We start from the raw sequence: 15,546 nt of genomic DNA, 5'->3' as shown, positions 1-15,546 counted from the left end.
GAAAAGATGCTCAATGTCATTAGTCACTACTGAAATACAAATGAAAACCATGGTGTGATACCACTTCATACCCACTAGGATGACTAAAATCAAAAGGACAGACAATAACAACTATCGCTGAAAATGTGGAGAAATTGAAACCTTTATACACTGCTGGTAGGAATGTAGAATGGTGCAGTCACTTGGGAAAACAGCTTGGAAATTTCTCAAAATGTTAAACATAAAGCTACCGTATGACCCAGCAATTCCACTTCTAGGTATATACCCAAGAGAACGGAAAACATATGTTCACAGCAGCATTGTTCATAACAGTCAAAAAGCTGAAACAGGTCGGGCACAGTGGCTCACGCCTGTAATCCTAGCGCTTTGGGAGGCCGAGGCGGGCAGATCACCTGAGGTCAGGAGTTCGAGACCAGCCTGGCCAACATGGTGAAACCCTGTCTCTACCAAAAATACAAAAATTAGCTAGGTGTGGTGGTGTGTGCCTGTAATCCCAGCTACTCCAGAGGCTGAGGCAGGAGAATCGCTTGAACCTGGGAGGCGGAGGTTGCAGCGAGCCGAGATCGCCCCACTGCACTCCAGCCTGGGTGACAGAGCAAGACTGTCTCAAAAAAAACAAAAAACAAAAAACAAAGCTGAAACAATCCAAATGTCTATCAATTGATGAATGGATAAATACAATGTGGCATATTCATACAATGAAATATTATTCCACAATAAAAAGGAATATAGTACTGATACATGCTACAACATGGACAAAGCCAGACACAAAAGGTCACATAATATATGACTCCATTTACATGAAATGTCCAGAATAGATAAATCCATAGAGACTGAATATAGATTTGTGGTTGCCAGGGGCTGAGAGGAGAAAGTGCTTAATGGATAAGGGGTTTTACTTTGGAGTGTTGGAAATGTCTCAGAAGTACATAGGGGTTGTGGTTGCACGACACTGTGAACATACCAACTGCTGCTGAGTTGTTCACTTGACAATGGCTAATTTTATGTTACGTGAATTTCACCTCAATAAATCACAGGTATTTGAAAGAAAAAGCAATCCAAAAATCTAAGCTAATATTTCCACTTACATGCAATGTTTTAAAAGTTGAAAAGTATTTCAAAAAGAGAGAGGATTTGTTTTTACAAGTTGGACTTGGCTTTTTTTTTTTTAACCTAGGAAATTTGGCTAAATTTAAAGAACTGTGAGTAATCCTAGATATAAAAAGATAATTTCTCTTTACTCTCTGCTAATAAACGTCTACTACAGCAGTAGAGTTCAGATGGAGCTTTTGAAAGATTTATTTCATGACATGCTTAAAGATTTGAAAGAGTCAGTACACCTCCTATGTCCCTTCCTACTTTCAGAGATGAGTTTCCTACATCATCAGCACAAGTCAGCTGGGTAGGAGAATAACATTTGATTCCCAAAGTAAAACATCCCACGCTAATTAGTATAGCACACTCTGCATCCTAAACCCTCCACCTTAAGCCTGAATAAACTTCCAAAGGCAAGACGTGGAATAGAAGTTGGGGGAATTACCTATAACCTAGACATCAAAGAAGTGGAGTTTAAGAGCAAATTACTCATATTAATTGTCCCAGCTTATTTACTTGTTTTTATTTTAATTTGCTTGTTGGAAACTCTATCCCTTAAATGCTCAAGTTTGTTTCAACTAGATGCCAATAGCCATGAGAAAGAACCTCAGTACAAAATAAACAAAGTGAATATTTAAGCTTCTAATTATATGGGGGTACAGAAAGGCATGCCATCTATTTAGAAACAATACACCTTTTTTTTGGAAACAGATGATCTAGCATTCTCCCAATTCTCCTAGATTATTTTTAAAACGTGATGCAAATCTCATGAAGTTCTGTGTTGAATAGATATAGAAATAATGTGATCATTGAGTTATAAAATCCAATAAAAATTCAATGATGCTACTAAATGTCACAAAAGTAGGGATATAGCTATTTATAAAAGTATTGAAGAAACACATATAAATTACACTGCCTTTCTTGTTCCCTGCCACTGAGTTTTAAATTGAGATTTTATATTGGTACATTATCGAATGAAATTAAATCAAACACAAAATATCTCTAAGACAATACTTTATGGTACTTCATAAATTCAAAGCTACATCTTCCTAAATGTAGTTTCCTATGCTACTCTAACGATGCCTTGTGCAAATCACACAGGGCAGCTTGAGCATCGTGGGAGTAAATGAGAAAGGAGAAGAGGGTGAGGGCAGCTCATTTTCCCCTTTTCATTCATAACCACAGGCACATTCCCAGTACTCACATGTGTCAGATCTCCTGGTTTTCGTTGAAGAACTGCTGCATCCCATGACTTCTATCTAAATCATATGTGTTCATGAATTCAACTTCTGATTTTAAGACAGAGTGTGAAAAGTGCCTCCCTTTAAGCTGCGAGGAACCACTCTTAGCCGATCCTCTTCAGTCATAGATTCTAATGAGGAATACACAGGAGGGAGGGAAGGAAACCGCCAGTTAACCACATGGTAGCTGAGGGGCTGCTCAGCAGGATTCATTTTACGCTTCTTCTGAATCGCTGTTCATCATGTGATGTGGAAAGTGATCAGACATAATCTAATCCTGGCTTATTTTCCAAAACACAGCAGCAGCTACAGAGCAGCTATAGGCTGCTTCTCTGCTAGACATAAATGAGTTTCTCCATGTCTAGGTCACATCCAGCTCTGTATAAAATAGAGCATTCAAAATGAAAAGAAAAATCGAAATATGAGAGTGTACGATTTTCTAATTTAAATATGGGGAATGGGATGTGGAGGAGCTGACATAATTAACTGTTTTGGTTTTCAGCTCAAAGTAATTCAACCTATCTAGGCTTTTAAAAACACAAATTGGAAGTTGACTATGAGACAAAAACAACATATTTAACAGCTATGCTGAAATTCAAAGTGAGTTCTTTGACAGTATTTCGCGGAATAAGTTGGGAACATTTGTTTTAAAAAAAAGGAGGCAGCCGGTCGCAGTGGCTCACGCCTGCAATCCCAGCACTTTGGGAGGCCGAGGCGGGCGGATTACGAGGTCAGGAGTTCGAGACCAGCCTGGCCAACATGGTGAAACCCCGTCTCTACTAAAAGTACAAAAATTAGCCAAGCATGGTGGCACATGTCTGTAATCCCAGCTACTCAGGAGGCTGAGGCAGCAGAATCGCTTGAACCCAGGAGGCGGAGGTTGCAGTGAGCTGAGATCGCACCACTGTACTCTAGCCTGGGCGACAAAGCGAGACTCCATCTCAAAAAAAAAAAAAAAAAAAAAAAAAAAAGGAGGTTTGAAACCTCCCCCCAAATTTAGGAATTGTAATCTGTGAGAGTGTCCTTTTATTTATTTTATTTTTTGAGACGGAGTCTCGCTCTATTACCCAGGCTGGAGTGCAGTGGTGTGATCACAGCTCACTGCAGCCTCAACCTCCCAGGCTCAGGTGATCCTCCCGCCTCAGCCTCCCTAGTAGCTGGGACTACAGGCATGCGCCACCACACCTGGCTAATTTTTTGTATTTTTAGTAGAGACGGGGTTTTGCTGTGTTGGCCAGGATGGTCTCGAACTCCTGACCTCAGGTGATCCACCTGCCTCGGCCTCCCAAAGTGCTGGGATGACAGGCGTGAGCCACCGTGCCTGGCCAAGAGTGCCCTTTTAAACAAGCTCTCTGGGCACTGCTGAGGCCCCTCTGGAGTCTAACTTTGTGTTCTATAGTCCTTCTCATGAGCTCCCTGACTCCCATAATCACTTCACGGGAGTTTTCAACAAAATTCCTTTCCATAGTATACTGTCACGTCACTTTTTAGGGTGATGTTTCCTTTATTTTGTGATGCTCCAAACCAACCTGATCTAATATATTTGCATTCCTTTTTTTTTTTTTTTTTTTTCAGACAGGGTCTCACTCTGTCACCCAGGATGGAGTGTAGTGGCACAATCACGGCTCGCTGCAGCCTTAACCTCCCAAGCATGTGCCGTGACACCCGGCTAATTTTATTTTTTTGTAGAGACAGGGTCTCCCTATGTTGCCGAGGCTGGTCTCAAACTCCTGGGCTCAAGTGATCCTCCGACCTTGTCCTCCCAAAGTGCTGGGATCACAGGTGTGAGCCATCTTGCCCAGCCCTATTTGCATTTCTTGACAGGCACAAAGTCAGCAAACAACTGACATATCTATCTTTCCATTGGTACTACACCAAAAGCTTCAAAATTTCAACTCGACTGAAGAAAGGGAAAACTAAAATAAGCAAAATATTTGAACTATGGCCATGTTTTGAAAATAACAATAAGCTTAGTAAACAGATTTTCTGACCAGAGGTGAACCTGATTATTTTATGTATTGAATGAATTAGCCTTCCTAAACTTTGGGTTACTTCCAAATTTTTATTTATTTTTTGAGACAAGGTCTCGCTCTGTCACCCAGGCTGGAGTGCAGTGGCGCAACCATGACTCACTGCAGCCTCCACCTCCCGGGCTCAAGTGATTCTCCTACCTCAGCCTCCTGAGCAGCTGGAACTACAGGCATGCGCCACCATGCCCAGCTAATTTTTGTACTTTTTTGTAGACATGGGGTCTCACCATGTTGCCCAAGTTGGTCTCAAACTCCTGGCCTCAAGCAACGTGCCCACCTCAGCCTCCCAAAGTGCTGGGATGACAGGCATCAGCCACCGTGCTTGGCTTTATTTCCAAATTCGATAGGCATTTCTTTCGTGTCTTCCTTATCTACATCATGGCTAAAGAACATTAACAAGATCAGATCCAAGGGCAGGATGAGCCCTGTGGCATCCCACTCCAAACCATCCTCCAGGTTCACCACAGATCCGTTACCTTCATACTCGCTGAGCACATTTGTTCAGTTAGCTGGTAAACTCACCTATCATAACTCTCATTTATCTGTGAGACATCCTGGAGAATTTTACTAAATATTTTAATAAAATGATGATATGTATATATTTTGATACTTTGACATTCCAGCTTATTCCAGCAAAAGAAGAGAGAGGGAAGGAGGAGGAGAAAAGGAAGGAAGGGCAGGGGAGGAAGAAAGGAAGGAAATCAATTTGGCAACATTTTTAATACAAAATCATAGAAGTTTAAAGGTGAGAGAGACCTTTAAAATTACCTAGTATTTACACAAAGTGCAAGGAAGTTAAGCAACTTGTCCCATGTCATATAGACCTGTGCTTGTCATACTTCGTTGCATATGAGTGTCACCTGGGGAGCTTTTCAAACTCCCAGTACTCAGCCTGCACCTCATTAAGTCAGAATCTCTTGGGGTTTAAAAAATACTGATGCCCAAGTCCCACCCCCAGATAATTTGACATAATTGGTACTGGGTGGAGGATGAGGCATCAAGATTTTTTTCAGTTTTCCAGATTCTAATACACAACAAAGTTTGACAATCTGTAATAGAGACGGTATTTTAGAAAACCCACGGTGCTGCATAGTGATGATCACATTTTCCTAGAAATGCTTTGGCTCCATCTATTTCAAGCTGAATTTTTCCAGAGGTCATATCAAGTCTGTGGCTTCTAGCATATATTCTTTTCTCATTTTTGAAATTGGGGCACTGTTCATCTAGGAATTCATCTAGTCCTGGTGACATTCTCCAGGTGCCTAGATCAGTGCTCTCCAACTCGAGTGCTCACAAGACTTATTGGGGGTGGGGGGATGCAGATTCCCAGGCTTTACTAACAATACTCAGATTCAAAAGTCCAGTGCCTTGGAATACACATTTAAAGTGCACCATGCCGAGAACTTTGATGCAAGGAATCCCCATATCTCAGTTGAAGAAACACTATTTTCCAACAGTATCCAAATCTCGCTTGGGCTTCGCTCCATCCTCATGCTATTTTTTCCACCCCTTTTTATGAAGACATAAGAATTGGGGCTGGGCACAGTGGCTCTCATTCGTAATCCTAGCACTTTGGGAGGCTGAGGCAGATGGATCCTTTGAGCCCAGGAGTTCGAGACCAGCCTGGGCAACATAGGGAGACCCCATCTCTACCAAAAAATACAAAAAATTAGCCAGGCATGGTGGTGCACATCTGTAGTCCCAGCTCCTCAGGAGGCTGAGGTGGGAGGATCACCTGAGCCTGGGAGGTCAAGGATGCAGCGAGCCGTGATCACACCACTGCACTCCAGCCTGGGTGACAGAGTGAAATCCTGACTTTAAAAAAAAAAAAAAAAAAAGGTATGTTTTTTAATTTAAAAAAGAAAACAGGGGAAAAAAAGAATTGAGCATTTAGTAGGCCATAAACACTGATTGGACTGATTGACATATTTCAATTTCGATTTTCTTTTTCCAGAAAAAAAAAAGCACTGTCTCAATATCTCTCCAGAGGCATTTGGTTTTCAGTCACCCCTCAGTTAATCCACAACAAACACAACTGCATATAAAAGATTCAGTAAGAACTAAAAAGCATCAAACTTGAGTATATTTCTGTTAGACTATTAGCCCCACGGGCAACTTCCAAAGTAGCCCTTGAATCTCTGGCACCTACATGGTGCCTTTCACATTGCAGATGTTGGATAATGCTAAATGAATGAATGAATGAACAAAGGAATCAATATTCCTAGGCCAGAGTTCTTTAAAAATTTAGTTGCTAAAAGTCATTATTAATCCATCATTTTGTGCACAGGTAGGTGCTATTCAATTATACAAAAGCATTTTATTAAATCAGAAAGGGGTAGTACTTATACATAATTTTTAAAGAAAGTTTTAAAATCATGATGGAAAGACATGATGTTCTAGAATTTTTTGATTATCCATTAGAAAAAATTGGCTATAATAATTTTTACATTATTAAATAATTATTATCAGTTTATTTTTAACTGTTTTTCTCTCAGGTAATAGGTTACAAAAAAAGTCAGTTCTTTTTCATTCTCACCAAAATATGAGCTGGTTAAAGCAAGATGCCACTTACCCCTCCCATGTACTGCCCCACCTAGACTTCCAGGAGAGAGGGAAGTGAGTTTGTAAGCAGTGCGTGAGCCTTTGAGGACATCTCTGACGTAAAGCTGATAAAAATGATTGGGGATTTTCCATGACTTGGTAAAATCTAAGCTGCTTCCATTTCCCACCCTCTGTTAGCGTTTAAGTGCATTGAAGAAGTCTCTGAAGAAGTGATTCCCTGAGGCCTGAAAAGGGTTCTCAGGCTCAAAGAGGTGGGGGGCTTCCACAGGGTTCACAAACGCCCAAGAATGTCCTAGTGGGTAACATGAGCCGCTGGGTGGATCTTGGCAAAAAAACAGCTTGAAACTTGCCCATTGCTGCTGTCCCTTCTAATATATACCAAGGATGGTTTTAAAGAGTAAACATGAAATAATGACTCATCATTGGCACTCACTTATAATTTGCAAAAGGAAAGCCTTCCGCTAAAAGGTTTTTACTGTGTGTGTGTTGGGGGTGACTGGGTGGAACTGATAATTTTCCATTTTTTTCATGCTAATCTTTCACTTCCAATGCTGAAAATACAAGGAAAGTACAAAAGACAGGCCGTGGGGACAAACTAACGTTCGCCACCAAGCACCCTCCAACCACTAGCCCAGCCTCCCCGAGTTGTTCTTGTTCATTCTTAAGGTGGTCTGATTTCTAAGCTCATCTCTATCCAACTTCCACACCTTGGCTCAGCCACCCTGACACGACCCTCTCTGGCATTCTAGATGTCAGTTTCGTAGTTTCCTATGCTAGAATTCAGCTTTTCCTAGAGATGTTGGCTTTAGCAAGAAATTGGCTTTAGCTCTAGTCCTGAAAACCTGGAACCCATAGTCATTCAACTGATACCAACACCCTCTACCCCCACCCCCGACCACCACAGTGGGAGTGAAGCAGGCAGGTGTAATTCTTCCCCCGTAGATTGTGCTAGCATGAGGAACAGATGCCTCATCAGGCTCACCCTATTGCATTCTGCTTGGTATTCATTGCCACAGAGGTTTTATAGCCTGATGTCTGTGGCCTAAATATAATGCAGAGGCATAGGGTGAGGCAGAGGAGTCCCTGGCAGCCCGTGCCAGAGAGTTCCCTTCCATCACTACCTTTCCAGTAGAACAGTGGAGCAATTACTTATGTCTGGGGTCTTAAATGAGTAAGGGGAGGTCTGTAAGACCAAGCTGGTGATTCTTCCTGGGTCTCGCCACATGAGAGGATAAGAAAAGGGAGGAAACTATACTGACCACCAGAAGGTGTTTGAAAGTGTCTGCTGGTATATCAGACATGATTGTAATCAGGAAACAGCGTGGCCTGGTGCCAGGTTTTCCAAAGTGTGTTTGTGGAAGAATAGTTCTATGTGGTTTATTATTCTAGGACTAAGGCCAAAATAAAGGTCCCACTATTACATAATAAGTTCAGGGGATGTAGAGCTGGACAGGTTTCTTTACTGCAGGACTTCTCAGAGCCTTTAATATATGAACATACATTGTGAATCTCTCAGAAAGAGCTGACCACTATTTCCCAAAGAGCCTAGCAAGGGGCCCTTTTGAAGTAAAGCATCTCAAGAACTATTGTTCCTAACTGCCTAATGCTGGCCCAGTGGAGCCTTGGGTTTAGAAGTCAGACAACAGGAGTTTGAACTCTTAGTCATTAATTCCCCTGTACCTCAGTTTCCTCATAAGAAAACAGTGATAATAATGCATATCTTACTGACTTGTACTGAGGACTGAGTGGTGGGAAAAAACTAGCTTGAACAAAGACCAACTGTTTTTAGCTGATGAGTTAGGAGGGGCCATGCATGGGTGGGAACCCACTGTGTTTGTTCAAGTCTCTTTCTTCAGAATGCTTTGTCTGGGGCTTCCCAAAGACTAAACCCTTTGGGTACCTACAGGTTCTGGTATAATTTAAGAGTCGCAAAGCAATGGGCTCTTTTCCCTTGAGAGGTCTAAGATCGGAAAGAATGCTATACCAGTAATCATAATAGTAGCTAAAATCACTACTATTTATTAAGGGACTACTATTTACCCAGCATAGTGGGTGCTTTATATTTCTATTATTTCAGTTCACTGTCACAGCAAACTTTCAAGGTAGTATCGTCATCACCATGTTACAGATGAACAAAACTGAGACTCAAATAACACACTCCCTGGCGTAGCTGATTAGTGGCAGAACTGAAGACTCGCTCTGTTTAATCATTAAAGAACAAAAATGTCTGCCCACTAAAAGGCTATGCCTTGGTTTCAGGATCCAATCTGATCAGTTCGCATACGAACTAAATCACTAAAGAGAATTTTGAACACTGTAAGGAATTCTGGTTCCATTCTTACAGATAGCTAGAAACCTCTAAGACGACAAGACGCCAAGGGAACTAAAGGAAGATTTCTAAATATGAAGGTGTGCAGTGGAGTTTGGAGAATACTCCCTGAGGGGACCTAGAAGGGTTTCTCAAAGGACCCCTTCCCTCATTTTCTGGCTCTCAATCCAAGTGACTGTGGAGATTTTCCAAATATCAAGTTCATTTGAAATAGGCCACAATCCTTCAGATTGCCAAGTCATCTGTACGTCTTCTTCAACTGATGGCAACTGATTTACAACCAGCATTTTTGAGAACAATCATTCCGAGAAATTGCAAAGCAGTAAGATATACTCCAAGGAGTACACATTCCCTGTTCCATTGCCACACGATATATGTTTATGATGTAGACTTCTGCTTGCCCCAAATGCCTAAGAATAAACAAACATATTACCTGTTTCTTCTGCTTGGCCAATGTAGAGGTTTTTCCTCACCCCAGGTGTTTCAAAGGAAATGAAGACGAGAAAAAAACCTTCTCTCTGGGGAAATGCAGAGGGCTGAAAGAAAAGAGGTACAATTTCAGCCCTCTCTGAAGCACCCCACACAAACACACACACACACACACACACACACACACACACACACACACCCCACTCTGCAGAGAGAGCTCTTGCTTAAATAAATAAACAAACATATATACACAAAGAAATAACTAGAACAGGGCCAGGCTGCTTTGCCTTTCAGCCGGGAAGGCAAGCCCAGAGCCACGAATCTGGGAGACAATGCACTGGCCGTGAGCACAGCTCTCTGCCCCAGCCCTGCTCTGTTCCTGGCCTGGAGATGCACTCAAGTAATGGGCTGCAAAGTCAGCGGCCACGTGACTGCTTCCAAAGGGACCAGGCTCCGCATGGGCAGGACCACGCTATTGTGTGCATAATCTGCCATCAATACAAAATAGAAAAGAGAATTTCAGTAAATAAGAGCAGAAAAGCACTCTTTAGGTAAACTGAGGATAATTTTTAGAAAACGTTACATTAACCTGGTACAATTAAGAGAAGTGGAAAAACTAAACATTTTTCCTTGGTTCTAGAAAGGTGTGGGTTTGAGGGAGCAGCCACTGGGTCATAAGACATTTATACTCCACCAGCTGTTCAGTAGCTCCTTATTGGAGAACCTACCTGTGAAGGGAGAATGACCTCCCTTCATCAGCAGAAAGGGAAAGGAAAGTTGGCCTGTAATCTTGCTGAGTTTAGGGGAGGAGAAAGACATACTTGAAAATTCAAAGTGCCCATGGCAGTAATGGATGCCAGCAGCCACAGTTCTGCTATGTTCGAGGCAATCTAGTGGTGGTCTTCTTGTTCACAGAGTCTTATACTGATCGCGGCCGCGCTGCCAGCAGTTTCCCTGGCAAACTCTTCCTAGCTGGTGACACAGCATACGTGTTTTCAAGCTTACTGGTCTTAGGCTTTGCCAGCTAAAATTTACAGGACTCCAGCCATAAACATTTCATAACCCCACCCAAGCTGCTCTTTAGCTCGATTCCTTTCTGCAATTGAGAGCCACGGGAGATCTAGTAAAGTGGTTACCTAGTTTGCCATTTAATCGGATGGAGTTACTTGAAAAATAACTGGCAAGGTGGCTCTGGGCTTCTGTCCTATTAGTATATTAACATCACCAGAGGGCCTCATTATGAGGCAATACGACCACTCAGGTTTCCATGGTGGGGACGCCAAGAGTAGGACCTGATGAGGCTGCTACACAAATTGTAAATGATAGCATAATTACTCAGGCTCCAAAAAAAATAGTGGACAATGTAGCTATACAGCTGGCTCTCCCAACCAAATGCCTATTCAATCCTCAGCCATTAAATTATGGCTATGTCTAGATACAGTTGTTCCAATGTCACCTCCTCTGTGTGAAGCCTTTCCTGAATCACCAAAGGGGAATTAGTCACTCTGTCTTCTGGCTCTCAAAGCCATGTGTGCGTCCAATTATAGAGCTGCTCAAAGTGTGCTGTAATTTGCCCTTTTACATGTGAAATCCTAAAGGGAAAGGATCTGTTTCATTCCTCTTGGCATCCCCAGTTGTGTGTGTGTTTTCTTATTTTTAAGACAGAGTCTCACTCTGTCACCCAGGCTGTGTAGTGGTGCATTCTGGGCTCACTGCAACCTCTGCCTGCCAGGCTTAAGCGATTCTCCTGCCTCAGCCTCCCGAGGAGCTGGGATTACAGGTGTACACCACCACACCCAGCTAATTTTTGTATTTTTAGTACAGACGAGGTTTCACCATGTTGGCCATGCTAGTGTCAAACTCCTAGCCTCAGGTGATCTGCCTTGACCTCCCAAAGTGCTGGGATTACAGGTGTGAGCCACTGCGACTGGCCACACCCTCAGTTTTAAACCTACTCATTACTGAATGCAAAAGAGGTACTCACCAAATATTTGTTTAACCACAGAAAGAAAGGAAAGCAGGGAAAAAAAACTCATGATTTAGGTTGTTATTTTAATGGCCAGCTCCTGGACCACGAATTGGATTGGCTGTGCCCTTTATGTGATTTGTTGAAAACTCAGAATTTGCTTTGAATGAATAACTTCATTGTATTTTTCCATTGTAGAAAGAACACTGAAATGTTACTGTGAGCACCAAAGGGGTCTTATGGTCAGCCTCCAACTGTTAAATGAACCAACACTGATGTAAGTGAATAAATCACAATAATGATAATATCTATTGAGCACTGACCATGTTCTAGGTACTTTTAAATTTTACATATGTTAATCTTATTTAATCCACACACCATCCTCTGAGGTATATACTATTACGATCCCTCTTCACCCATTAGGAATTGTGGCCTAAAGTCAAACAGCAAATGAGGGGTGGAACTGGGAGTTGAACCCGGGCACTTTGGCTCTAGAACCCCTGCTTATTATAATCATTACACTCTACTGCCTCAGTCAGCACCTTGTGTGTTTGCAAAATTCAAGCTTCAGCCTCTTCTCAAATGCTCTCTGGCTTTCCTACAGCTGACCAGGGATGTGTTCTCCCAGCCTGAAAAAAGAAAAAATGATGGGCAGAGTGATGTTAACAGTTTTAAACCTCCTATGTGGCAAGCACCTCCTATGTAGCAGGTGCTACTGAGGGACAGAGACACAAATGGCAGAGAAAAAAAAATACACATGATTGGATATTGAAATATACATACTAGGTTCTTAAAACAGTGCCAGGCACATAATAAATATCTATTACATGAATAAATGAAAGCAATATGGTATGATAAAATATCTAATAAAACAGGTACGAGACACTCCAGGGGCGCAGAGAAAGAGCCCTATCTCAGAAAGGGGGATGACGGAAGGCTTCCTAGAAGTGATGCACGGGCCGAGACCTGATGACTGACTAGGCATCAGCCAGAGGAAAAGAGGTGGGAAGAGGGGGTTCTCATAGCTATGCATATTCTACAGTACTTAACTAGGGTGTGAAATGGGAGAGGGGAACTAGAAATCAAAATGAACTTCTTTCCTAATGATAATGCTGCAATTACATAAAGGTGCCCGGATGTTAAGATTGAAAAATGGCTGCCCTCTCCACCTCTTCAGGCTGGACTTAATCTCTCTTGATTGCCTTCCCTTCCTTTCTCACTTCCCCACTGCTGTACTTTCTTTGCTCCTGCCTTCCAAATAAACTTGCTCTCAAATGTTTATCTCAGGCTCTGCTTCTGAGGGATCCCAACCCAGGACATTTAGTTAGTCCATGGCAATAGCAAACTATGGAAAGACAGAGGGGAATGGAGAAGCCTGGCTACCTCTCAAGGGAGAGAGGGATTTGTAGGCAAGCCTCTCCTATTTCACAAGCTTCCTGGAGCTGGCCACAGTTCCAATTTCTGCCAAGGCAAAGTAGTTCTAATGGGCAGCTCCCATTATTGATCATGACATACCCTGAGGAGTATGCTAGAATTGAGGTGAAGCAGCTGGACTGGAGAGGAGACTAAGAAAACAGCGGCATGTGCAGATCTATTTGATGGTGGGTACTTAAGGTGTCTGCTTGTGGCTCCTGATACCTCGAAGCCCCGTAGCACCAAAGGGGGGAAGCTCAGACAGGGCTGGCCTCCCAGCTCTTCTGACTCTGAGCTAGCCTCCTGATGCTGGGGCCACTGGCAAGCAATCACACCCAATCACCACTTCCTAACCCCTAGTAGTCTCCAAAACTGGGGTAGCTTCCCCACAGCACATGCACAGAGATCTGCTGGAGAGCAGAAAGCAAAACATCAGAACTCATATTTTTATCTATTTTCTTATTCTTGTTAACTTTTCTATTTCCATGTATATTTGATCATGTACACAATAAATGAGTTCAGCAGTATTAGCTGTAAATAAATAAATATGCTTGGTCCATTCTCACGAAACTTACTGTGAGGGGTCCATGATGAAAAAAGTTCAAAAAGGCTGGGGGCAGTGGCTCATACCTGTAATCCCAGCACTTTGGGAGGCTGAGCAAGGAGGATTGCTTGAGCTGATGAGCTGGAGACCAGCCTGGGCAACATAGCAAGACCTCTCTACTAAAAAAAAAAAAAAAATTAGCTGGGTGTGGTGGGACATGCCTGTTCTCACAGCTACTTGGGAGGCTGAGGCAGGAGGATCACTTGAGCCTGCAAGATCGAGGCTGCAGTAAGCCATGATAGAGCCACTATACTCCAGCCTAGGCAACAGAGGAAGACCTTGTCTCAAAAGAAAAAAAAAATCGAAGGACTCTAATTTAAAGATCCTGCTCCCTTGTGAAGAGAAGAAAGGAATACCAAGTAATTTTTCACTTAAATAGAGAAAGGATCAAGCATATTTTCAAGGGTGAATTCTGGGTACTGAAAAATCACATTAACTAGGAGAAAAGAGAGGCCAGATCTGGCAAGTCATTAGGAAGTCATTAAAAGAAATTAAAAGTGGGTTATGAGTCACTATCAGATGGAAGAAATTCATAAAAGTCAGTGCTTGCCAGATGTTTCTATTGGGGTCACCTGGTGAGCAGCCACAATGACAGGCTAAAACAGCCATCACGTTTTAAGGTGGGGAAATTCAGCTTTCGAAAGGCTCCATCTTAGATACAAAAGTTGAGCTTTCCTTGGTTGTGATTTAATAAATAGATTAATAGATATCAGAATTTTAATTCGGACCACTGCTTAATCTAACCCTAGCTTGGTCCTCGATGGCTTGAGTTTAAAGAAATTCCTTAAATTAACCCTGAATGTTCATAAATCAAATCAAAAAGCTTCACAGAAGGTTCTGGTCTGGGTAAGATGGAAAAGGGACATTTTACCCACTCTACTCTTTCTCTCTCATGGGACAAAGCTATAAAACCTGGACAGAATCCATGAAACAGCTATTTGAGGACTGTGGCAGACAGACTCTAAGCTGCCCCCAATGATCCCTTCCTCCTGGTCAATTCACACCACTGTGTTCATCCCTTCTCTTCAGCATAGGCTGGACCCAGAAACTTGCTTCTAATCAATTGAGCATGGCAATGGTATTGGGATGTCACTTCTATGACTAGGTTATAAAAGACTGTGATTTTCTGTCTTGCTAGCAGACCCTATTATCTTCACAGCTTTTGTGCTTTCAATGAAGTAAGCTGCCATGTGGGAGAAGCCCAAGTGGCAAAGGACTGGGGGAAGTCTCTAGCCAAAAGCCAGCAAGGAACTAAGGCCCTCAGTCAAACAGACCATGAGGAACTGACTCTTGTCAACAACCATACGGGCTTGGAAGTGGATCCCTCCCCAGTCAAACCTTCAGATGACAGCAGCCCAGTCAACACATTGTGTGCAGCAGCTCACGACAGATGCTGACGTAGAGGGCCCAGGTAAGCCACGCCTGGGTTTCTGCCCCACAGAAACTGTAAGATCATAAACATGTGTTGTTTTAAGCCACTAGATTTTTTGGTAATCTGTCCCACAGCAATAAACAAGTAACATGAGGACTCTGAAAAGTAAATAACAGACGGCAGATGAAGGAAACAGATCAGAGTTTGAAGTACCACTGAACTGACAGTGAGTTTACCTTTTGTTCCCTCCAGTTCCTCCAGGCCAGATTCAAGGAAGCAGAAATTAAAATTAAAACCATGAGATACCACTATATGTCTATGAATATGGCTAAATTTGGGTGGGGGGGTTGAGACAGGGTCTCACTCTGTCACCAGGCTGGAGCACAGTGACACAATCACAGCTCACTGCAACTTCAACTTTCTGGGCTCAAGCTATCCTTCCACCTCAGCCTCCCAAGTAGTTGGGATCACAGGTACATGCCACCATGCCCGGCTAATTTTTGTA

The 15,546-nt window shown here is 42.6% G+C and overlaps 1 protein-coding gene across 19 annotated transcripts in view; it reads right to left on the bottom strand.

Moving 5' to 3' along the window:
• Positions 1-15,546, bottom strand: part of PPEF1 (protein phosphatase with EF-hand domain 1) — a 152,851-nt gene that overhangs the window by 117,792 nt on the left and 19,513 nt on the right. For 10 of the 19 annotated variants that reach the window (XM_047442194.1, NM_001377986.2, XM_047442195.1 and 7 more), the window contains 3 exons: positions 12,195-12,281; positions 9,691-9,793; positions 2,300-2,467 (listed from right to left, as the gene is read on the bottom strand). In XM_047442194.1, coding sequence (XP_047298150.1) covers positions 2,300-2,345 — 46 coding nt within the window. In that variant the 5' untranslated portion in view covers positions 2,346-2,467; positions 9,691-9,793; positions 12,195-12,281. Of the gene's footprint in view, positions 1-2,299; positions 2,482-9,690; positions 10,062-12,194; positions 12,282-13,695; positions 13,789-15,546 lie in introns of those variants that run through there. The other 9 variants (NM_001389621.1, NM_001389623.1, NM_001389624.1 and 6 more) reach the window with 5 other exon arrangements.

The sequence above is a fragment of the Homo sapiens genome, chromosome X (assembly GCF_000001405.40).
Source record: "Homo sapiens chromosome X, GRCh38.p14 Primary Assembly".
In the NCBI taxonomy this organism is placed as follows: Eukaryota; Metazoa; Chordata; class Mammalia; order Primates; family Hominidae; genus Homo; species Homo sapiens.
The sequence above is the reverse complement of the archived record's forward strand: the minus strand, read 5'-3'. Positions and strand labels throughout refer to the sequence as shown.